This window comes from Homo sapiens, chromosome 11 (genome assembly GCF_000001405.40).
Source record: "Homo sapiens chromosome 11, GRCh38.p14 Primary Assembly".
Taxonomy (NCBI): Eukaryota; Metazoa; Chordata; class Mammalia; order Primates; family Hominidae; genus Homo; species Homo sapiens.
Window position 1 is genome coordinate 63,288,611 of NC_000011.10, and position 23,976 is coordinate 63,312,586.

The 23,976-nt window shown below is 37.2% G+C and overlaps 1 protein-coding gene across 10 annotated transcripts in view; it reads left to right on the forward strand.

Moving 5' to 3' along the window:
- The first annotated feature begins 1,292 nt into the window (after window positions 1–1,292).
- The window catches only part of SLC22A10 (solute carrier family 22 member 10 (gene/pseudogene)), a 73,242-nt gene continuing 50,558 nt past the window's right edge, over window positions 1,293–23,976 (forward strand). For 2 of the 10 annotated variants that reach the window (XR_007062480.1, XM_047426920.1), the window contains exons 1-9: window positions 1,293–1,957; window positions 2,930–3,033; window positions 8,693–8,847; window positions 8,949–9,117; window positions 10,310–10,433; window positions 10,904–11,019; window positions 13,719–13,933; window positions 15,498–15,606; window positions 16,076–16,279. Coding sequence is in view for 8 of the 10 variants with exons in the window: in XM_047426920.1 (XP_047282876.1) it covers window positions 1,556–1,957; window positions 2,930–3,033; window positions 8,693–8,847; window positions 8,949–9,117; window positions 10,310–10,433; window positions 10,904–11,019; window positions 13,719–13,933; window positions 15,498–15,606; window positions 16,076–16,279 (1,598 nt within the window). In the remaining 2 variants the exon portion in view is untranslated. Of the gene's footprint in view, window positions 1,958–2,929; window positions 3,034–8,692; window positions 8,848–8,948; window positions 9,118–10,309; window positions 10,434–10,903; window positions 11,020–13,718; window positions 13,934–15,497; window positions 15,607–16,075; window positions 16,280–22,396; window positions 23,174–23,976 lie in introns of those variants that run through there. The other 8 variants (NR_134874.2, XM_017017699.2, NM_001039752.4 and 5 more) reach the window with 8 other exon arrangements.

Sequence of the window (23,976 nt, forward strand, 5' to 3'; positions counted from 1 at the left end):
CCCATTTGTGAGATGATTGATAGGTTAATTGGTTCCACTATAGTTAGCATTTTATATATCTCTATATATCTTTATCTATATATATACATATGTATCTTATAACATCATGTTGCTTATCTTAAATATGCACAATAACATTGATTTTAAAAAAACAAACAATTGTATATACATTCTATGGAATAATATTCAGCAATAAAAAGGAACAAAGTATTCATATATACAGCAACTTAGATGAATATCTGTAGAGTTTCTGATTTTTCAAAAGCCAACCTGAGAAGGATATATACCATATTATTCTCCTAGAAGGAGGGATATCTGTGGAGATGTAACTGTTCACTATCTTGATTGTGATGATGGGCACACTAAATTACACACATAAAATTGTATAGTACTATATGCATACACGGATACAGATAAACCAACAAGGGAAATATTAATAAAATCAGTAGATTGTATCAGTATCAAGATCCTGGTATTATACTACATTGTATCATACTAGCATCTTGATGTTGATACAATATTATACTACAGTTTTGTAAAATATTACCATTAGAGGAAACAGGGTGATGAGTATATGATTACTCCTTGTGTTATTTCTTGCAACTGCATGTAAATCTATAATAATCTCAAAAAACATTTCATTAAAAATCTAAAACATGGGAAAGTTATCTGATGCAAACTATAAGAAACCTGGCATAGCCATGTTAACGTTAAAAAATATATAATTCAAAATGAGGAGCATCACTAGAGATAGAGGCATAGTTTATAACAATAAAATAAACAATTTATCTGGATTCCCAAAACTAACATGGAAAAGATCTTCCAATGTGCTATATATAAATGAATAAATAAGCCCAAGGAAATAAACTCCTATATGAGCTGAACACTGCCTTTCTCTTCTATTTATATTTCATATAATTTAAAGTTATGTGAGTTCCTCATGTGATTTAACCTGAAGCATAATATCAGTTAACAAAAGATAGTAATGGCATCACATTCCAATTTGCTTTAAAAAGCAAAACATGGTAATTGGGATTTGCATTTATTCATCATTTTAATCTAAATTCAGTACTAAAGGAGAAAAACCCTGACTTTCTGCTCTTTTCATGGAAAAATTATAAAGCAGTTTACTTTTGTGTCTCTCAAATTTCACTTCCTAGAAATAACAACACTGTTTAACCGATTTCTTTTAGCTTATTTAGAGAACATGTACATGCCAAAGTCCAATGTAAATTTCATGAGTCACTTGAGGACAAACATATTTGGAGAGAGTAAACCTTTAAACGGATTTTATTGTCAACAGCTAGAAGTATCTCTATGAAATAATGATCTCTATGACTACAAAATAACATCTACCTCCTGATAGCAAAAGAACTGAGGAAGCTCTTTCCACTACGGCTGTATTGCACTGGTGAGTCCGGGCCCATGGATGAGAAATTGATGCGAGGATCAATACAAGCTTAATTTGAATTAATAAAAGGAAATATTTTCTCCCTTTGAACTTATCTCCGTAAAGCCATTGTGCCTCCTCTTGGGGGTCACGTGTTCACAATCAATGGCCTTTGAGGAGCTCTTGAGTCAAGTTGGAGGCCTTGGGAGATTTCAGATGCTTCATCTGGTTTTTATTCTTCCCTCTCTCATGTTATTAATCCCTCATATACTGCTAGAGAACTTTGCTGCAGCCATTCCTGGTCATCGTTGCTGGGTCCACATGCTGGACAATAATACTGGATCTGGTAATGAAACTGGAATCCTCAGTGAAGATGCCCTCTTGAGAATCTCTATCCCACTAGACTCAAATCTGAGGCCAGAGAAGTGTCGTCGCTTTGTCCATCCCCAGTGGCAGCTTCTTCACCTGAATGGGACTATCCACAGCACAAGTGAGGCAGACACAGAACCCTGTGTGGATGGCTGGGTATATGATCAAAGCTACTTCCCTTCGACCATTGTGACTAAGGTAAAGGGTCCTGTTAACCTGTTCTGGATACACAATCCAGGTGTTTAGAAGAAAATAAACATGCTTTAAGCCTCTAGTTATTGTGTAGATAGTGTAGTCAGCACTCAGACACTCTTTTGGCAAATAGTGATTGCTCTTTTTTTTTTTTTTTTTTTTTTTTTTGAGATGGAGCTTGACTCTTGTTGCCCAGGCTGGAGTGCAATAGTGAGATCTCAGCTCACTGCAACCTCCACCTCTGAGGTTCAAACAATTCTCCTGCCTCAGCCTCTGAAGTAGCTGGGATTACAGACATGCATCATGACACTCAGCTAATTTTTTTTCTTTGTATTTTTAGTGGAGACAAGGTTTCACCATGTTGGCCAGACAGATCTCAAACTCCTGACCTCAGGTGATCCACCCGAAAGTCCTGGGATTGCAGATGTGAGCCACCGCACCTGGCTACTTATTTTTTAATTGTCAGGCACTTACATTGAATTTGAGGCAATGAACTCAACCAACTAGATATAAATACAGCTATCACAAAACTAGCTTGAAGAGAAGACTAATGATTAGAAAAATATTCTTCCTGGTCACTTGTTCTCAGCCTAAGTTGCAAATTGGAAACATCTGTGTTATTTTTAAAATCTGCCTGCTTTGGCTACATGTTACAGAAGCAAATCAGAGTGGATTTCATACTAGCATCAATGGTTTAAAAAGTCTCCTTAATGTGTTTAATGTGTAACAAAAATTGAGAACCACTGAGGTATGCAGTGCTGAATGAATATAAAGACAGACATTAACATAACCTGGAAGGTTTTGTGTGAGGATTTCCAGAGAAATCCATGCTTAAGCCAAGACTTGAATGGTATAGGTAAGAAAATGTAGTAAAAAGAGGCTAGAGAGTGTGTCCACTGAAAGCTATTGCAGCAAGTGAACAATGAGAAGTCAAAAGCTGCTGTGAAGCTATGCTGTATTGGCTTCCTTCTCTTCCAGTGGGACCTGGTATGTGATTATCAGTCACTGAAATCAGTGGTTCAATTCCTACTTCTGACTGGAATGCTGGTGGGAGGCATCATAGGTGGCCATGTCTCAGACAGGTGAGTGTCTCCAGATCAGGGTTATCATTACTCTGCAGTGTTTTTATCAGCTTACAATTAATTTTTTTCACAAAGAAGTGTTATTGAGTTACAATATGCAATTTACACTGTTGGTGCTGCTCTGTTCCCCAGAGAGTTAGATACAGAAATGAATTACAGTGAGTTTAGTGAGTGCCATTTTGTTGCCACAGAGATCTCTGAACAGCATCTCTGTATAGGATACTGAATACAAAAATATCAAAATAGAGAATTCATCCTCCTTGAAGATACAAATATATGAAATGGTGTGTAGACCTTGGCTAGGGATATTGTGTTAAGTCCCTCCTGGACTCTGTGAGCTAAATGCTTGTGGGCTCCCCAGCCTGGTTGTCATTATCATAATTACCCCACTGTAATTAGTAGGAGTATTAGTCTATTCTCATGCTGCTAATAAAGACATACCTGGGACTCGGTAATTTATAAAAGAAAGAGGTTTAATCAACTCACAGTTCCACATGGCTTGGGAGGCCTCACAATTTTGGTGGAAGGTGAATGAGGAGCAAATTCATGTCTTGAATGGTGGCAGGCAAGAAAGCATGTGCAGGGAACTCCCCTTTATAAAACCATCAGATCTCATGAGACTTACTCACTACCAGGAGAGCATCATGGGAAAAACCAGCCCCCATGATTCAATTACCTCCCACTGGCTCCCTCCCATGACACATGGGGATTATTACAATTCAACGTGAGATTTGGTTGGGGACACAGAGCCAAACCATAACAATATGAATTTTAAAATAATAGTTTTTAGCTCTGTGAAGAATCTCAATGGTAGTTTAATAGGAATAGTATTAAATCTATAAATTGCTTTGGGCATGTATTAGTCCACTCTCACCCTGCTGTGAAGAACTGCCTGAGGCTAGGTAATTTATAAAGAAAAGAGGATTAATTGACTCACAGTTCAGCATGACTGGGGAGACCCCAGGAAACTTACAATCATGGTGGAAGGGGAAGTAAACACATTCTTCTTCACATGGTAGCAGGAAAGAGAAGTGGAGGGTGAAGGGGGTAAAAGCCCCTTATAAAACTATCAGATCTCATGAGAACTCACTCACTATAGTGAAACCAGCATGGAGATAATGCCTTCATGATTCAATTACCTCTCACCAGGTCCCTCTCATAACACATGGGGATTATGGGAACTACAATTCAAGATGAGATTTGGGTGGGGACACAGCCAAATCATATCAGGGCAGTATAGCCATTTTTATAACATGGACTCTTTCTACCTATAAGCATGGAATGCTTTTCCATTTTTGTGTGTGTCATCTTTGATTTTTTTTTTTTTTGAGTAGTGTTTTGTAATTCTCCTTGTAGAGATCTTTCACCTCCCTAGTTAGCTGTATTCCTAGGTATTTTATTCTTTTGTGGCAATTGCGAATGGCATTGCTTTCCTTATTTGGCTCTCAGCTTGACTGTTATTGGTGTATAAGAATGTTAGCGATTTTTGCACGTTGATATTCTATCCTGAGACTTGCTGAAGTTGTTTATCAGCTTAAAAAGCTTTTGGGCTGAGACTATGGGGTTTTATAGATACAGTATCATATCATCTGCAAACAGGGATAGTTTGACTTCCTCTCTTCCTATTTGGATGCTCTTTATTTCTTACTCCTGCTTGATTGCCCTAGTTAGGACTTCCAATACTGTGCTGAATTGGAGTGGTGTCTTGTGCCAGTTTTCAAGACGAATGCTTTGAGCTTTTGCTTATTCAATAAGATGTTGGTTGTGGGTTTGTCATACATGGATCTTACTTTTTTGAGGCATGTTCCTTCAATACCTACTTTATTGAGAGTTTTTAACATGAAAGGTTGTTGAATTTTATCAAAAGCCTTTTCTTCATTTATTTAGATAATTGTGTGGTCTTTGTCTTTAGTTGAGTTTATGTGATGAATCACATATATTTATTTACAAATATTGAACCAACCTTGCATCCCAGGGATAAAGCATACTTGATCATGGTGGATAATTTTTCTGATATGCTGCTGGATTTGGTTTGCCAGTATTTTGTTGAGGATTTTTGCATTGATATTCACCAAAGATATTGGCCTGAAGTTTTTGTGTTTTTTTTTTTGTTGTTGTTGTTGTTTTTGTAATCTCTGCCAGGTTTTGGTATCAGGATGAAGCTGGCCTAATAGAATGAGTTAGGGAGGAGACCCTCCTCCCTAATTTTTTGGAATAGTTTCAGCAGGGATGTTGCCAGATCTTCTTTGTACTTCTAGTAGAATTCAGCTGTGATTCTGTTTGGTCCTGGGTGCTTTTTAAAATTATTACTTATTTATTTATTTATTATTATTATTATTATTATTATTATTATTATTATTTTGGTTGATAGGCTTGTTGGGTGTTTTTCTGAGGTGATTAGATTTGATTCCTCTTTCTGTCTTTATCATTTGTTTATTGGTTCTCCTAGTACTTTATAGTTTTACTTGCTTTCATTATGGTAACTGCCATCTCTCTACTTCAAGATGTAAGACTCCCTGGAGAATGTTTTTGGCTGTTTCTGTGGTGGTAATTCCTTTAGTTTTCACTTGTCTGTGAAAGATTTTATAGTTCTTTCATTTCTGAAGCATAGAAGAATTTTTCTGGGTATAATATTCTTTTCTGACAATTTTTTCTTTCAGGACTTTGGATATATTATCCAATTTTCTCCTGCCCTCCAAGGTTTCCACTCAGAAATTTGCTGTTAGTCTAATAGGAATTCCTTTATGTGTGACTCAATGCTTTCTTCTTGCTGCTTTTAGTACTTTTTCTTTATCTTTGCTTTTTTGAAAATTTGACTATAATGTGCCTGCTAGGGGACCTGTTTGAGTTGACTCTATTTGGCATTCTTTGAGCTTCTTGTACCAAGATATCCATGCTTATCCCAAGACTTGGGAAATTTTCAGCTATCATATCATAAAGTATCATAAAATATATTTTCTAACCGTTTCACTTCCCTTCTTCTGGAATTCTCATAATGCAAATATTTATTCACTTACTGGTGTTTATACATTCGGTAGGTTTTCTTCATTCTTTGTAATTCTTTTTTCTTTCATCTGCCTCTATTATTTTTAGCAAACTGTCTTTAAGCTCAGAAATTATTTCTGCTTGTTCCAGTCTATGGTTGAAGCTGTCAGTTGCATTTTTTTTTACTTCATTCATTGAATATTCAACTGTAAGATTTCTGTTTGGTTCTTTTTTATATCTATGTCTTTGTTAAATTTTTCATTTAAATAATGTATTGTTTTTGTAATTATATTGAATTGTCTATAGTTTCTTGTATCTCCCTGAGTTTCTTTAATATTGTTATTTTGAATTCATTTTCTGGCATTTTGTATATTTGTCTATAATTGGGGCCGGTTACAGGAAAATTATTGTGGTCCTTTAAATGTGTCAAATTTCTTTCCTTTGTAATGTTTGATTTGTCTCTACATTGATTTCTTTGGTTGAGTGGAAAGGTTGCCTCTTACAATTTTATGAAGAGATTTCATAAGGAAAGGCTTATTTGTATGAATGGGTCTTGTGTCGTCAGTTTTATGGGGTGTGTCAGGCTTTGGTTCTAGGTGGGCACAGTAGTATTCTTTCTGTGTAGTTTCTTCAGCTTTAACCTAGGCTAGTGACATGTGCTAGTGTCTTAGTGGCATAGGCTGCAAGAGTTGGTTATGGTTGTGGTAAGGCTTTGCTGGGGGTCGGCTTGCCAGGCTGTTTCTCAGATGTGGGGTGCATGCATGCACGTGGTGATTTGGCCAAGTTAAGCCAAGTTAGACTTATGGAGCTATTATTCTGGCCAGGAACACATACATGAGGTTGCTCTGCCAGGCTGGTGGCAAGCCTGCCAGTAGTCCCCCACAGGGCTGTTTTCTCAGACCCAGGACATGGGCACACAGCTACTCAGCCAGCCTGGAGGTCTGAGTGCCAGCGAAGCTTTCAGTTGTTCTGACATCCTGATTGCAGGTGCAGGGCCATTGGGCATACCAAGGGCTTGTCTGCAGGGGGTGGAGCATCATGGAGCTATCCTCAGGTTCTAGAAAGAGGAGCATAGGAGCAGGCTTTACTGGCTGGAAGGCTGTTAGTTGCATAGAGTTCCAGGGTCTTTCCCCCTTGGGGAAGGGTATGCAGCAGTTTAGCTGGCTCAACAGTGGGTTCACCCTGGGCAGAATTGCCAGATTGTTTTTCCAGATGAAAATGAGGGTGGTGGGATTTGTTTCTCTGCTTTGTAGGACCAGAGCCACCACTGATCCTAAGCCCAGACTCTGCACTGCTGGGGTTGTGGTGTTCAGTCACTGATGTGGGCTTCATGGAATGAAGATAGAGTTCCAGTGCTGGAGAGGTGCAGTGGCTACTGGCCCCCAGGACAGGATGCACTCCAGAGGTGGCTCTGGTCTCAAGATGGTGCCATGCTGCAACAGCTTGACTCACAAGGGATAGGCGTGACCTGGGGAATAATACTTTGTGCCCCTAATCTGGGCAATGCAGTTGGGTAAATTTTCGGCAGCTCTCTTTTGGACTCAGGACTTGTGCGGACTATGAAATTCTCCTATGGTAAGAACTGTTGCTGTTTGTGGTGGCAATGGAGACTGGTGGGTTCTTCTGCTACAGAGGCTGGGTGCCTCCATGCTGCCCTCCTGGACTTCCAATCTCCACAGGTGTGTCTCCACCCCCTCGCTGCATTGCAGTGCTCTCCCTTCCACACTCTAGTGAAATCTTACCTGTTTATTTGTTGCCTTGGTTTTTTTCTCATTGGTGTGTGGGTTGGGGGGAATGAGTGTCAGGAGTCTCTACTTAGCTATCTTGCTGATACCACTCCTCTAGATACTATTTAAATATATCTAGAGTTCCATTTCAAATGTAGAACAGTTCCCAACCCAAAACTTTGTTTGTTAATATTACTGGGCATATACAATAAGCACACCCCATTTAGTCCAAGTTGTCCCCTTTAAGACCTGTCTTTACAAACACCCTGTAAAATGCCAAATTTCCTTTCCCTTTTCAGCCTTCACTTTCTCTCTCCCTTCACTCTACTTTCTACGTATTTTTTTCCTCTGAGAAGTTTCTGTACTTTTCTCTTTCTGGGTTGTGGCTCTCTTATATTTTGTTCTAGCTGGAACACAGAGGCCTATAAACCCAGATCAACAATGGGAGTCCATGTTTCTTTATGAGAGCCTCTTAGGCAACCCAACAGAAACTTTGATGCATTGTTCCACTGATGTATCTTATACATAAGTTTAGCCTTGGCCTGCATGGTCTTAGAGACCCAAATACATATTTAGCTCCCTTGTATTTCATATACTATGTAGACTCTCTACTATGCTGGATACATATGTCAATATAGTAGATACTTATTCATATTACAATTTCCAACATTGTAGCTTCTTTTCTACAGTATCTGTTGGTATCAGAGGCCTTCTTATTATTAAGTGATGAAGGTTTGATTTTGATATTGTTAGTGTATATTATAAACAGGGAGGGTTACTTCTGAGGATATTTCTGTGTCAATTTAGCTCTTGATATTTCAGGATTTAAAGTACACAAAATAATTAGTTAAAATATTATCAAATTTTAGAGTGAGCTTTCATTTTCTTAAGTTTTTACCATAAATTATTATTGCTGTCATAATCTAACATGACTCGCTGTTTCTCAGGTTTGGGCGAAGATTTATTCTCAGATGGTGTTTGCTCCAGCTTGCCATTACTGACACCTGCGCTGCCTTCGCTCCCACCTTCCCTGTTTACTGTGTACTACGCTTCTTGGCAGGTTTTTCTTCCATGATCATTATATCAAATAATTCTTTGCCCAGTAAGTCAATAATTGTGATCTTCTCTATTTTATGACCCTTTAATTTGACCTTGAAATTTCATCTCTATTTGACCTTAAATGCTATATGGGTTTTCTTTCAGTTACTGAGTGGATAAGGCCCAACTCTAAAGCCCTGGTAGTAATATTGTCATCTGGTGCCCTTAGTATTGGACAGATAATCCTGGGAGGCTTGGCTTATGTCTTCCGAGACTGGCAAACCCTGCACGTGGTGGCGTCTGTACCTTTCTTTGTCTTCTTTCTTCTTTCAAGGTAGGAGCTTTCTCTCTCACTTTGCCTTATGGGGTCCTGGGATGAAAATGAATATTGAATAAGAACATATTGATTTTCTTATTGCCACTTCTGGACCTAGACCCATGTTCTCATTTATTCACTCTGTGCAGCTTGAGAAAAAATGGTAAATAGCAATGGCTCTTCTGCCTGGGAGTTCTGACATAAAATTGGAAAAACTTTTATTGTAGACATAGAATGATTCCATCTTTTTTTTACTAAACATATAGATTCAGATGTTTCAAAAAGAATATCTTTGATTCATTTTTGCCTTGAAATAAATCAAGTTATGGTGATATGTGTAATGTTTTTCACTTTTATAGGTGAAATTGGAAGAAACCACAAGTGTATTCATATAACTCTTTGACAATAGTGCAGGACCATTTCACCAGTACTAAAAGTTGGGCAGACTGAGTGATTTATAGCATGTGTTCAGCACTTCCTCCTCCATTAGATAATTTTAACAAACATTTATTTGTGGCTAATTTCATCTCTACATTTGAAACCAATCTATGGAAGCATCAGATTCAGTTAGAAATTACTGGAATATTGAGATATTACTATATATTTCACACAGTGAGATGAATTCCGATAGACAGTAGAGTATAATCCATGTCAGACTCTTCCATTATCTTATTTCATCTTCATAACAACCCAGTAAGGAATATGGCACTGCTGTTTTTGTTTTATTGATGAGGAAACTGAAGTAGATGTAAATGAGTGACTCACTTGCATAGTAAGTTACCAGCATAGCTGGTAGTGGCAGAAGTACTTCCAACCTTTGAGCAGCTTTAACCTTACATAAGTTGAAGACTTATTTTTCTTAAACAATACATATCATGAACATAAATTTGCTAGAACTCACGCCAAACTTTGGAAAGAACTTACGCATGTAGGGACCCTAAAGCTTAAGCTTCACAGACTTCTTTGAAAATTTTCCTGTGATCAAACAAAGAAGTGATTTGTCTCCAAAGTCTGTTGCTAAACCTTGAAGGTGTATTGCAGGATCATGGTCATATTTTCCTAGTATTTGTATAATAAAATAGGACTTTGTGTTTTCAATACAACTAAGTGGTGGATAATAAATGGAAGACAAAAGGCATCCATAGCCAATAATCATATGACTAATAAGAAAGACAGAGATGACTGCACTTGTGTATTTTTCTTGTATCAGGTGGCTGGTGGAATCTGCTCGGTGGTTGATAATCACCAATAAACTAGATGAGGGCTTAAAGGCACTTAGAAAAGTTGCACGCACAAATGGAATAAAGAATGCTGAAGAAACCCTGAACATAGAGGTGAGTAGGAAAGGGAAGGTGGTTACTGGGTTGAAGGGAAGACATACGCTGACATCTGCCTTCTCCTTATTGAGACAGACTAACTGCTTCTAAGAAGGGCAGCTAGCTGAGAACACAAGCTCGGTTCTTATTTTTTCAAGGCCATCTCATATAAAAGAAGCTTTGGGAATTATGTAACTATCTCTTTCTTTAGTTCACTTCCTGATCTGAATCTACAACCTATGCATCCTTGTGGATACACTATAACCCTTTGGGGCCTTATTTTCAAATGTCTTTATTGCTGCATAATTTCCTGGAGGCTCCTTTAATGTTCTCCTTCATTTTTCTTCACACCGCTTTCACTTCTGTAATTGCATATCATATATCACACTCGAGAGAAAGGGAACATATTTCTCTTGTCCTACTAAGTGCCAGTTCTCACAACAATGCCTGGGATGATGTTGATAAATGATAAATGTTTATTATTGAAGGTTGTAAGATCCACCATGCAGGAGGAGCTGGATGCAGCACAGACCAAAACTACTGTGTGTGACTTGTTCCGCAACCCCAGTATGCGTAAAAGGATCTGTATCCTGGTATTTTTGAGGTAGGCTTCGTATAGTATATGAGGAGCATTAAAAGTTTGGTGACATGAATCACTTTCTTATTTCAAAGGTTGCAACAGTAGTGTGTGTGTGTGTGTGTGTGTGTGTGTGTTTAGGACTGATTTGTAGATAAAAGATGAAGAAAATACACAGGTAACTGCTACATTTGAAGAGAGGCAGAGGGTTATGTAGACTCACATCATCCTACCAGTCTCATCATTGGTGATTGATACTGAGGTAAATTGTGTTGTTTAATTTTCTTTATTTTTTTCAATTCTACTTGAAACAAATCTTAGTAATGTGCACAGATTATGAATGTATACAACTCCATGAATATTTTTATACATAAAAAGTGTAATCAAGTCAGGCGTGATGGCTCATGCCTGTAATCCCAACACTTTAGGAGGCTAAGGCAGGTGGATCACCTGAGGTCAGGAGTTCGAGACCAGCCTGGCCAACATGGTGAAACCCCGTCTCTACTAAAAATACAAAAATTAGCCAGGAGTGGTGGTGCAAAGCTGTAGTCTCAGCTACTTAGGAGGTTGAGGCATAAGAATTGCTTGAACCCGGGAGGTGAAGGTTGCAGTGAGCCAAGATTGTGCCACTGTACTCCAGCCTGGGTGAAAGAGTAAGACTCTGTCTCAAAAGAAAAAAAAAAAAAAGAAAGAAAAAAGAAAATGTAATCAACACCCAGATCAAGATGTAGAAAAACCTTGGAAGGCCTCCTTGTGCATCATCTACAGCAATAAAAACTGCCCCTGCCAAAAATAACTTAAGAACAGTTCTGGCCTCCATCACCATGAAGGATTATTGCCTGATTTTGACCTTCACAAAATGTAAAAGATAACATGGCTCCGTTTGTCACAGGCTCCTTTTCCTCAACTTTATTCCTTCAAGATTTATCAGTGCTGTTGCTTGTAATAGTAGGTTGTTCTCCTTCCCAGTGTTTCAGTATTCCAATAGATGAATACAGAACAATTTCTTTACCTACTTCTTTGTTGGTGGACTTTTACATATTTCCAATTTCGGGTGTTCGCAGAAGGGCTTCTGTAGGCAAGCTTGTACATTGTCTCTTGGGGACATGTAAGTACTTACTTTGGTAGTGTCAGTAGGAAAAATTTTAAATATAATTCTAAATTTTTGAAAACTTATAAAAAGTGTTACAGGAGAGCGTATGTCCACTTCCAAGCTGAAGACAGTACTATTAAATTATACAGTTTACCTCTTCCTAGGCATATCCTATAGGTGGCTACTTCATTTAATTGCATTGTGCTTTATCACTTTTCCCCTATCCACTACATTACAGACTCTGGCTTCTGAATCCTAGACAGTCAGAGTGGGTCAAAAAAGTAGAGATAGTGGTCAGAAAAGGACTTACTTGCTTGGAATTGCTATGATCTATGGTAGTTTCTTCTGCCATAATGTCTAAAGCTAGCTCTTTCTGGGTGTGGTAGATCATTAATGTGGACTAGTTCTCTGTAGATGCTTTCTGGGTATATTGAAGATCCTCGGTAGGAACCTCTGATTTTATTTCCTATGGTGAAGTTGGTGTAGGTTTGTTTGCCTGGATTCTGACACTTTTTCTTAGCTCTGGGGAATGAGATATGAACCTCTTTAGTGAGAAACATCCTCCTCAGGCATCCTCTGCATTGAATTGTACCAGATTTTTTTGTTTGTTTGTTTCTTCTCTTTTCTTTGCGATCAGTGTCAACGTGTTATCATTTAAAATAACTTGTTATAACTATATAACATTTTTTACAAGCCTTGTGGTAACTGCAAAGCAAAAACCTATAATTGATATGCTAAAATTAAAACACAAAGAACCAAAAGATACTACTAGAGAAAACCACAAATAAAAACTGTCAAAGTGAAACAAAGGGGAAAAAAAATCTACAAAAGAAGTAGAAAACAAGTAACAAAATGGCAGTGTTAAACCCTTACCTATCAATAATTACCTTAAGTGTTAATGGATTAAATTCTGCAATTAAAGACGTGGAGTGGTTGAATGGTCATTTTTTTACTTAAAATGGCTCCTGGTCAGCTCTTACTTGGAAAGAGCCCACACAGATGGTCTATGAGAGAAACACATGTATCCCTGCCTCTGTGTCCATACAGTGTGCTTATTCACTCATCACATTCTCTGTCTCTGCTCTGACCCCTCAGGAGATAGCCACTGTTTCTCACCTTAAATGTCTTGGAATTGTGTCAGGCACCAGAACACTGTGCTCCCAGACAGTGCTGCCAGGCACGTAGTCTTTTTGGAGCCTTACTCTCTAGCAAAGGGAAAGTTCTTCACTGTAGTAGCACTGGGGAGAAGAGAGAGAGCACTTACAGCATACTGACAGCTCTCAGAAAATGAATTATTTCCCTAATTTTCAAGCTTTAATTCTTCTGTGTTCAATGCTTATATACCATTGAGTTTGATGACTGATTCAGGTTAAGTTTCCCTGTCATTATCAACTATCTGCTTGGGAACTTGGACAAAAGAATGACTGACAGGAGTCCTGTTCTTATGTAATGTCATGCAATTATTCATGATAGCTCTAAGATCACCATCTTTAAAACAAAGAACTCTACAAATTTTACCGAGCCTTTATTCCTTAACACTGACCAATAACTGCCTGGGCCAATATGATAATCAACTGCGGGACATAGGCTCTAAACCTTATGACATGTGTCTCTTCTATTTTGTTCACCACAGATTTGCAAACACAATACCTTTTTATGGTACCATGGTCAATCTTCAGCATGTGGGGAGCAACATTTTCCTGTTGCAGGTACTTTATGGAGCTGTCGCTCTCATAGTTCGATGTCTTGCTCTTTTGACACTAAATCATATGGGCCGTCGAATAAGCCAGATATTGTTCATGTTCCTGGTGGGCCTTTCCATTTTGGCCAACACGTTTGTGCCCAAAGGTGAGAGAAGACTGGACTTTGGGGGAAAGAAAATGTCTTCTCTTTGTTCTTCAGGAATTGTATTGGTCACACTTGCCTAAAACCAGGAATAAAGAGGAGTGCCATTTAAAGGCTACATATTCCCTCAAAGCAATATGAGCGTGTAAAACGAATTTGGCTAATAATTGAGAAAAGAGCCAGGGGCAGCTCAGATGTGTATTTATCTTCATCAACTCTGGAAGCAGCTGGATAGTGGTGACATTCATTCCTGACGGTTTCTCTAGGAGATCAATTGATCACTTGCCCTTTGGTTAATCACACTTTTGATAACAAGCATGGCATGTCTAGGCCTTGCGATTATATCCCATTTGAGGACACGATATGATTGCTTCCTTTGTGTGGGCTCTGTCTAGGTTCTTCCTCATTACTATGTCTTCAGTGACCAGTCTACTCACTGCTATCCGTGTAGCCACACTTGGACGTGATGTTAAGTCACCATGAATGCAGCCCTTGATTAGGGGAAACCTTTTTGACTTTAACGAAGTAGAAATCCTTTGTTTACAAGCAGAGAAAGAATATATGATAGGGACAATAAACTAGGCAGATTAAAAGCCTATTTCACTCCCTGTTAGACTATTTTATAAGTTAATATGATGATTGTATGTAATGATTAGGGGAACCTTAGTAGGCACTATGCCTTCCCTGCTTCCCAATACAAGAATGTATTTTACCGCATAATAGATTGGGGAACTTGATTCCTCTTCCTGAATATTATCAATAATGTATATCTCCTGACTTACATCGAGCACTTTCTAATCTTATAAATCTATAATTCTCTTTCTTTCTATATTAGGCAGAAAACATTCTCTGAAACTTCCTTTTAATGGTTTCCAAATTCTGAATTTATTTTTCCCCAAGCAGAAGTTCCATTGCTTGGTTCCTTATGCCTATTATTCTGGATCTAGCCTCTCTACTCTGCCCACTTACAAAGGAGTTTTTTCATTAGTCTCTTGTACAATTCCAACTCGTGACAATACTGTGTCTGTACTAGATTGACTGAGTTACCCAGATTTACCTGGGACTTTCTTGGTTTTATCAATAAAAATTTAACTTCACTAAAACCCCTTCATCCCTGGGAAATCTAGGATGGCTGGTCCCTTTAAATTCTGCACTTTAATTGTAAAGTTCTCAAGTACAGTGCTGAGTCTCAGACTCCTCAGTAATTGTCCACATGCTGGTTCTACCTTCTATAGAATGGGCATAGCGAATACTGGACAGAATAAGTAAGAAAAAATTTCTGCTAGAGTCACCGTTTCTCCTCCCTCTCTGAAAAATCTTAGATATACAGAGAGATTTCCTGCATTAATGCAGATAATATTATGCACTTTTTGCCACCTATGTTGATAATTCTAAGCTGATAATTTCTCAGCTTATCAACCTCTGGATGTTCTCTGGCACTATTCAGTTTTCTACAGTATTTTTCAAACATGCAAATACTCGATAGATTGTTTTTAAATTAAGTTTGGTGGATGTTGCTTCCTTCGGCCCAGATATCAGAGTCTCACTGGTCTCTTCCTTTTGCCAGAAATGCAGACCCTGCGTGTGGCTTTGGCATGTCTGGGAATCGGCTGTTCTGCTGCTACTTTTTCCAGTGTTGCTGTTCACTTCATTGAACTCATCCCCACTGTTCTCAGGTATAAGAGATACAGATGCTCCACCTGAGCCCAAAATAAGAATTTCCCACTAAACAATACTTACTGAGGGAATAAAGCTGAGACCTGTTTATTATTTTAAAAGCAATCATTTATAATACTAATAATACACTAACAAAAATTATGGCCAATGATTATTGCAAGCTGACTTTGCACTATCTACTGTGCTAGACAGTATTTTAATGTATCATCTCACTAATCTTTCGGACCACTCATCAGCGTAGGTGTCATGTGTAACTGTCTGTTTAAAATGATGAAAAGGAGTCTTAACTCACACTGAACCTGATTAAAAACAGCTAGAAAATCATAGAGAAAATCTCAAAAGCAGCTGTTTGCCCATGTACCTAATGATTGTGTTTTATTGTCTTCTGCAGTCAAGTCAAAATAATATGTCACAAATTACATGTGTAGATTTTTTTTCTGATTATCATGTATTGTTATTTATCTGTAGGGCAAGAGCTTCAGGAATAGATTTAACGGCTAGTAGGATTGGAGCAGCACTGGCTCCCCTCTTGATGACCTTAACGGTATTTTTTACCACTTTGCCATGGATCATTTATGGAATCTTCCCCATCATTGGTGGCCTTATTGTCTTCCTCCTACCAGAAACCAAGAATCTGCCTTTGCCTGACACCATCAAGGATGTGGAAAATCAGTGAGTGAATCTTTTAGCCATGTCCTGAGAGAAGCAGTGTACTCTATATCCGTGATAAGAAATGAAAAACTCCATGTGGATCCTTGAGATTATTGTGAAAGCTTAGCCTTTCCTGAGCTACTTCCACTTGGGCCATTGCCTTTCATTAGCAGCAGGGCCAGCTCTATCCATTCTGAGTTCCAACTCTAGAGTACAGAGACACCCTCATTGGTAGTTTTAGTGATAAAGAGATAAAAATGAGCTATGTTGTGATGGCACATACTACCTTTCCTCATGAAAGACACACGCTCATGATGGTATTTAATGATTCTTGGATTCATAGAGCTTGGGATATGGTGGGGAAGGAAACAAAATAGTGAAGGAAGAATGTTCAGAAATATCACAAAGAGTTAAAGATCCTCCTTGAAAAGATAGTAAAGGAGATAACTCTTGTTTAGTTGCCTGTGAAATTCAGTCAACCTTGCTGCCATGAGTAATAGAAGGTTTGAGGATAGAGAAAATAAGAAACTAGGAAAAAGTATTTTTATTTTTTAATTTTAAAGTTTCATTTTATTTGTATATTTAAAGATGGGGTCTCCTCTGTCATCCAGTCTGAAGTGCGGTGGTGCAATCACAGCTTACTGAAGCCTCGAGTTCCTGGGCTCAGGTGATTCTCCCACCTCTGCCTCTTGAGTAGCTGGCACACGCCTCTACACATGGCTAAATTTTTGTATTTTTAGTAGAGATTGGGTTTCACCATGTTGCCCAGGCTGGTCTTGAACTCCTGTGTTCAAGCAATCCCCCTGCCTTGGCCTTTTATTTTGTTTTTAATTGACTCAAAATAATTGCACATATTTATGGGGAACAGTGTGACGTTTTGATACATAGAAATCATGGTAATTAGCATATCTATAATCTTAAACACATCATTTTTTGGGGTGAGGACATTCAAATCCTTTCTTATAGCTCTTTTGAAATATATAATACATTATTGCTAATTATGGTCACCGTACTGTGCCATAGAACACTAGAATTTTTTTTTTTTTAGACAGAGTCTCACTCTGTTGCCCAGGATGGAGTGCACTGGCACAATCTCAGCTCACTGCAACCTCTGCCTCCCGGATTATAGTGATTCTCCTGCCTTAGCCTCCTGAGTAGCCCGCCACCACGCCCAGCTAATTTTTTGTATTTTTAGTAGAGACAGGGTTTTGCCCTGTTAGCCAGGATGATCTCGATCTCCTGACCTCGTGATCCACCTGCCTCAGCCTCCCAAAGTGCTGGGATTACAGGTGTGAGTACCGTGCCTAGCCTATAATTTCTTTCTCCTAACAAACTGTAGCTTTGTACCTGTTGATGAACCTGTTCCTATCTCCCCCTACCTTCTTCCTTCCCTAGCCTCTGACAACCACTATTCTACTATCAACTTCTATGAAATCAACTTTTGAAAGATTCTACATATGAGTGAGATCATGCAGCATTTGTCATGTGCTTCTCTTATTTCACTTAACATGGTTAATCCATGTTGTCATTAACACATCATAATCCATGTTAAGTGGACAGGATTTCATTCTTTTTTATGGCCAAATTGTATTCCATTAAGTATATTCCACTGAGTATATATATATCTCTCTCTCTTCAAAATCTACTTTATCTGTTGATGGACACTTAGGTTAATTCCATATCTTGCCTATGGTGAATAGTGCTGTAAAACATGGGAATGCAAATATTTCTTTGACATACCAATTTCATTTCCTTTGGATATATACTCAATAGTGGGATTGCTGGATATTATGGTGGTTAACTTTTCATTTGTTGAGGAACCTTCATACTGTTTTCCATAATGGCTGTACTAATTTGCATTTCTACCAATCATGTATAAATTCCTCTTTCTCTACATCTTTACTATCATTTGCTATTTTATGACTTTTTGGTAATAGCCATTCTAATTGGAATGAGATGACATCTCATTGTGGCTTTAATTTGTTTTTTATCAATGATTGGTGATGTTGAGTATTTTTTCATATAACTATTGGGCATTCATGTGTCTTCTTTTATGAAATGTCTATTCAGATCTTTTGCCCATTTTCAAATCACACTTTGTTTTTTACTCTTGAGCTCCTCTTGTGTTTTAGTTATTAGTCCCTTGTTAGACGCGTAGTTTGTGAATATTTTATTTCACTCTGCAGGCTGTCTCTTCACTTCATTGATTGTTTTCTTTGCGGCATAAAGCCTCTTTAGTTTGATATAATTCCATTTGTATATTTTTGCTATTTTAGAATTCCTTCTTTAAATGTTTAGTAGAATTCACCTGTGAAGGCATCAAGTCCTGGGCTTTTCTTTAATGGGAGACTTTTTATTATTGATTCAATTTCCTTATCTTTTTATTGGCCTGTTGAGGTTTTCTACTTCTCCATGATTCAGTCTTAGTAGGTTTGTATGTGTCTAGGGATTTTTCTGTTTGTTTTTTTTTTCTGTTTTTTAATTTTTTGGTTTGTATTTGTTCATAACAGTCTCTAAGGATCCTTTTTGTGATATCAGTGGTGATGTCTCCTCTGCCATCTCTAATTTTATTTGAGTCATCTCTCTTTTTTCTTAGTCTGGCTAAGGCTTGTTGATGTTGTTTGTCTTTTCAAAAAACAAACAAATTTTCCTAATCTTTTGTATTTTTGTCTTTTTTATTTATTTTTGCTCTGATATTTATTATTTCCTTCTACTAATTTTGGTTTTAGTTTGTTTTTGTTTTTCTAGTTCCTTTAGGTTTAATATCAGGTTGTTTATTTGAGATCTTTAAATTTTTTTGATGTAGATATTTAATGCTATAAACTTCCCTCTTAGAATGGCTTTTGCTGTATCCCATAGGTTTTGGTATGTTGTGTTTCCATTTTCTTTTGTCTCAGGAAATTTTTAAATTTTGTTTTTATTTCTTCATTCACCCAATGACTGTTTAGGAGCATGTTGTTTAATTTCCATGTATTTGTAAGTTTTCCAAAGTTCTTTCTTTCTGTTACTAATTTCTAGTTCTATTGCATTGTGATCAGAAAAGATATTTGAAATTATTTTGATTTTAAAAAAAATTGTTGAGTTTTGTTTTGTGGCCTAACATAGGATTTAACCTGAAAAATGTTCTGTGTGCTTCTGAGAAGAATTTGTCTTGTGTAGCTGTTGGATGAAATGTTCTGTAAATGTTGGATCTAGGATGTGATTTAATTTTAATATTTCTTTGTTGATTTTCTATCTGGATGATCTGTCCATTGCTGAAAGTCTCCTATTATTATTTTATGCAGACTATCACTCCATTTAGGTCTATTAATATTTGCTCCATATATTTAGGTGCTCTGATGTTGGGGCATATATATTTATAATTGTTTTATCCTATTGCTGTATTGACCCCTTAAGTATTATATATGGTCTTATCTCTTTTTGCAGTTTCTGGCAAAAAAAAAAAAAAACTGCAAAAAGAAACAAGACCATAATGTTTATTTTATCTGATATAAGCATAGCTACTCCTAGTCTTTTTTAGTTTTCATTTGCATGAAATACTTTTTCCTTTTGTTCAATTCAAGTCTACGTGTGTCCTTATAGTTGAAATGAGTCTCTTATAGGCAGCATATAATTAAGTTAAAAAAAATCCATTCAATCATTCTACGTCTTTAATTGCAGAATTTAGTCCATTTACATTCAAGGTAATTATTAATAGGTAAGGGCTTAACACTGCCATTTTGTTACCGATTTTCTACTTGTTTTGTACATTTTTTTCCCCTGCTTTCACTTTTACAGTTTTTATTTGTGGTTTTCTCTAGTAGTATATTTTGATTCTTTGTGTTTTAATTTTAGCATATCTATTATAGGTTTTTGCTTTGCAGTTACCACAAGGCTTATACAAAATTATATAATTATAACAAGTTATTTTAAATGATAGCAACTTGACACTGATCACAAAGAAAAGAGAAGAAACAGAATAATCTGGTACAATTCAACTCTCCTTCCACGTTTTGATTTTTGTCATGATTTACACTTTTATTTTGCCCACCTCTTAACAAATTATTGTAGTTATTATTTTTGATAGGTTTTTTTTAGTTTTCATACTAAAGATATAAGTAAGTGGTTTACATGCCACAATTACAGTACTAGAGTAACAATCACATTAATGCCCTTTTCTTTAAGTTCAAAAAACTCCATTTAGCATTTCTTGTAGGAGATAGTGATGAATTCCCTCAGCATTTTTTTTTTTTGCCTGGGAAAGTCTTTTTATCTCAACTCATTTCTGAAATATAGCTTTTCTGGGTAGAGTATTCTTGGACAGCAGTCTTTTTTTTTTTCCTTCAGCATTCTGCATATATCATCTCAATCCTTTCTGGCCTGCACATTTTCAGCTACAAGTCTGCTTCCAGGCATATTGGATCTCCCTTATATATTATTTGCTTCTTTTTTTCTTGGTGCTTTCAGGACGCTCTATTTGTCTGCTCTTTGAGAGTTTATTATAATTTTTCTTGGGATATTCTTGTTTGGGTTTAATTTGATTGGTGACAAGAAATAATGTTAAAATAATAAAAATAGCATATTCACTTCTTATGTCTTTCATAACAAGATATCACAAACTTAGGCACTTAAGAAAAGAAATTTATTGTCTCACAGTTCTGGAAGCTAGAAGTCTGAGATCAATTTATTGAAAAGGACTTGACCTCACTGAAGTCTGTAGGGAAGAATCTATTCCAGACACCTCTTCTCACTTCTGGTAGATCCTTGGGTATAGTTTCCCAACTGTAATCTTCACATGGCATTTTTCCCCACGTGTGTGTCTCTACATTCAAATTTCCCCCAACTATTTTTTTTTTTTTAGATAGAGTCTCGCTCTGTCACCCAGGCTGGAGTGCAACCTCTGCCTCCTGGATTCAAACTATTCTCCCATCTCAGCCTCCCAAGTAGCTGGGATTACAGGCACCCACCATCATGTCAGGCTAGTTTTTGTATTTTTGTATAGACAGGGTTTCATCATGTTAATCAGCCTGGTCTTGAACTCCTGACCTCAGGTGATCCACCTGTCTTGGCCTCCCAAAGTGCTGGGATGATAGGCATGAGCCACCACGTCTGGCCTCAAATTCCTCCTTTTTTATAAGGGCACCAGTCATATTGAGTGAGGGGTCCCACTCTACTCCAATATGACCTTGCCTTAACTAGTAACATGTGCAACAACACTGTTTCTGAATAATGTCACATTCTGAGGTATTTAGAGTTAAGACTTCAACATATAAATTTTCTTTGGTGGGGGGACACAATGTAACCCATAATTAATGGTGAGATTTCTTAAATTTTTTAATTCACCCCTTAACTTTCAAAGATGCCATTTACCACAGGTCTAAAAAGACCAAGTGAGAGTAGCAATTTTCAAAACTCCCTTTGGATCTGCACAGGCAGCAGGACCTTTTACAGAGTGAGTGTGATTCGCTAGAAATACTGACTTATAAATAGCTGATGGTGTAATCCCATTTTTGGGTATATACTCAAAGGAATATAATTCATTCTACTATAAAGACACATGCACATGTTTGTCTATTGCAGCACTATTCACAATAGCAAAGACATGGAACAAACCTAAGTGTCCGTCAACAGTAGACTGGATAAAGAAAATGTGGTACATATATACCATGGAATACCATGCAGCCATAAAAAAAAACATGTCCTTTGCAGCAACATGGGTGGAGCTGGAAAACATTATTCTAGGCAAACTAATGCAGGAACAGAAAACCAAATACCATATGTTCTCACTTATAAGTGGGAGCTAAACTACAAAAACACATGGACACAAAGAACTACAGATGCTGGGGCCTACTTGAGGGTGGTGATTGGGAGGAGGGAAAGGATTAAAAAAAACCTATGGAGTACTATGCTTATTACCTGGGTAACTAAATAATATGTACACAAAACCCCTGTGACACACTGTTTGCTATATAACAATCCTGCACATATACCCCTAAACCTAAAATAAAGTTAAAAAATAAATAAATAAATGCTGATGGTCAGAGGTTCAGCTTGCAATGGTGCATAGAGGACATACAAAGTAATTTTGATTTTTTCTGAACGTTTGTTTTTGTTTGTTCTTTTTCAATTTATTGTTTCTGTTTTGTTTTGTTTTTCCAGAAAAAAAAATCTCAAGGAAAAGGCATAAAAATGATTGCTACACAAAAGTGACCAAATTTTAAGAAGCCTTCATGAGCTGATTGGTGGGGAAATTCAGAAAAAAAAATACAGGAAAAGAACACACCAGAAGGGTTTTTTTCCCTACAACCAGCAAGAACATATATTAGATACATGAATCTCAATTATAATTATGGCATTAATTTGCATTTTATTTCAAAATTAACTTGTGGGGACATGTAATCTCTTGAGCAATCTGATATTTTTGGGAAGTCCTTTAAAAAGTTACAAATTTATCAATAAATTACTAGTAGATAAGATGATTCAGAAACAAAAGAAAATCACAGAATTAGGATGTGGCTGGCTGGTGTATGAAGCACCATGTGATGAATTCATAAAGTTGCAAAAGTCAAAACAATACTGTACATGCAACCAGAAATCAAAATAAATCCAGAAATAGAGACCTATATAAATGCATTTAATACATGATACTTTTGACATAATAAGCCATTGGAAAACGGAAAGATTAGATACTAAATAACATTGACTATCTCTTTGTAAATACAGTCACTAAATGATGTTAGTTACTTTTCCATGGTGGAATTTTAATTACTTTTTCTTTGTAATTTTTCTCTCTGTATATTTTAAACAAATAGCTGGTATAGTTTACAATATTATAAAGATATTGTTCAAATTGAAGGGCAAAGGCCAGGTTCAGCAATTTTCAAACTGTATGTACATTTAATAAAATAACTATAAATTAAAAAATTATATTTCAAATGATGTGACTAATAAATGAAAGTACATATAGTAGTAAAGTAATTTCAGGCAAACCTATATAACCAAAATATAAACTTTCATTTTAAACAGCAAAGATTTTAAGTGCTAATGATTCTCAGAGTGGGTGAAGATACACTGAATGTTGGGGTGATCAGACCCAACGCCAGGTCGTCGGGGCGATGAAGTCTGGCGGAGTCAAAGGAATGAGAAAAAGACAATTTGAGAGAGAAAGTGGGACCGGGGGCCATCACAAGTGTGGAGGCTGCGAAGGCCCCAAGCTCTGGGAGCCCATGCTATTTATTGGTGCTCAAACAAACAAACAACTGGTGGTGAGGTGTCGGGGGAAATTCAGCCAGATGTCGGGCAAAATTCACCCCCGATATTTCACATAGGTTCTTTTCTACTTTCCCAAAGCATCGACCAGTTTGAGAAATAAAGGGACGGAGTACAAAAGAGAGAAATTTCAAAGCTGGGCATCTGGGGGAGACGTCACATGTCGGTAGGTTCCATGATGTCCCCTGAGCCATAAAACCAGCAAGGTTTTATTAGGGATTTTCAAAACAGGAGGGAGTGTTCGAATAGGGTGTGGGTCACAGAGATCATGTACTTCACAAGGTAATAGAATATCACAAGGCAAATGGAGGCAGGGCGAGATCACAGGACCACAAGACGGGTGAAATTAAAATTGCTAATGAAGTTTCAGGCACCATTGTCATTGATAATATCTTCTCAGGAGACAGGGTTTGAGAGCAACTGATCTGACCAAAATTTACTAGGCGGGAATTTCATTATCCTAATAAGCC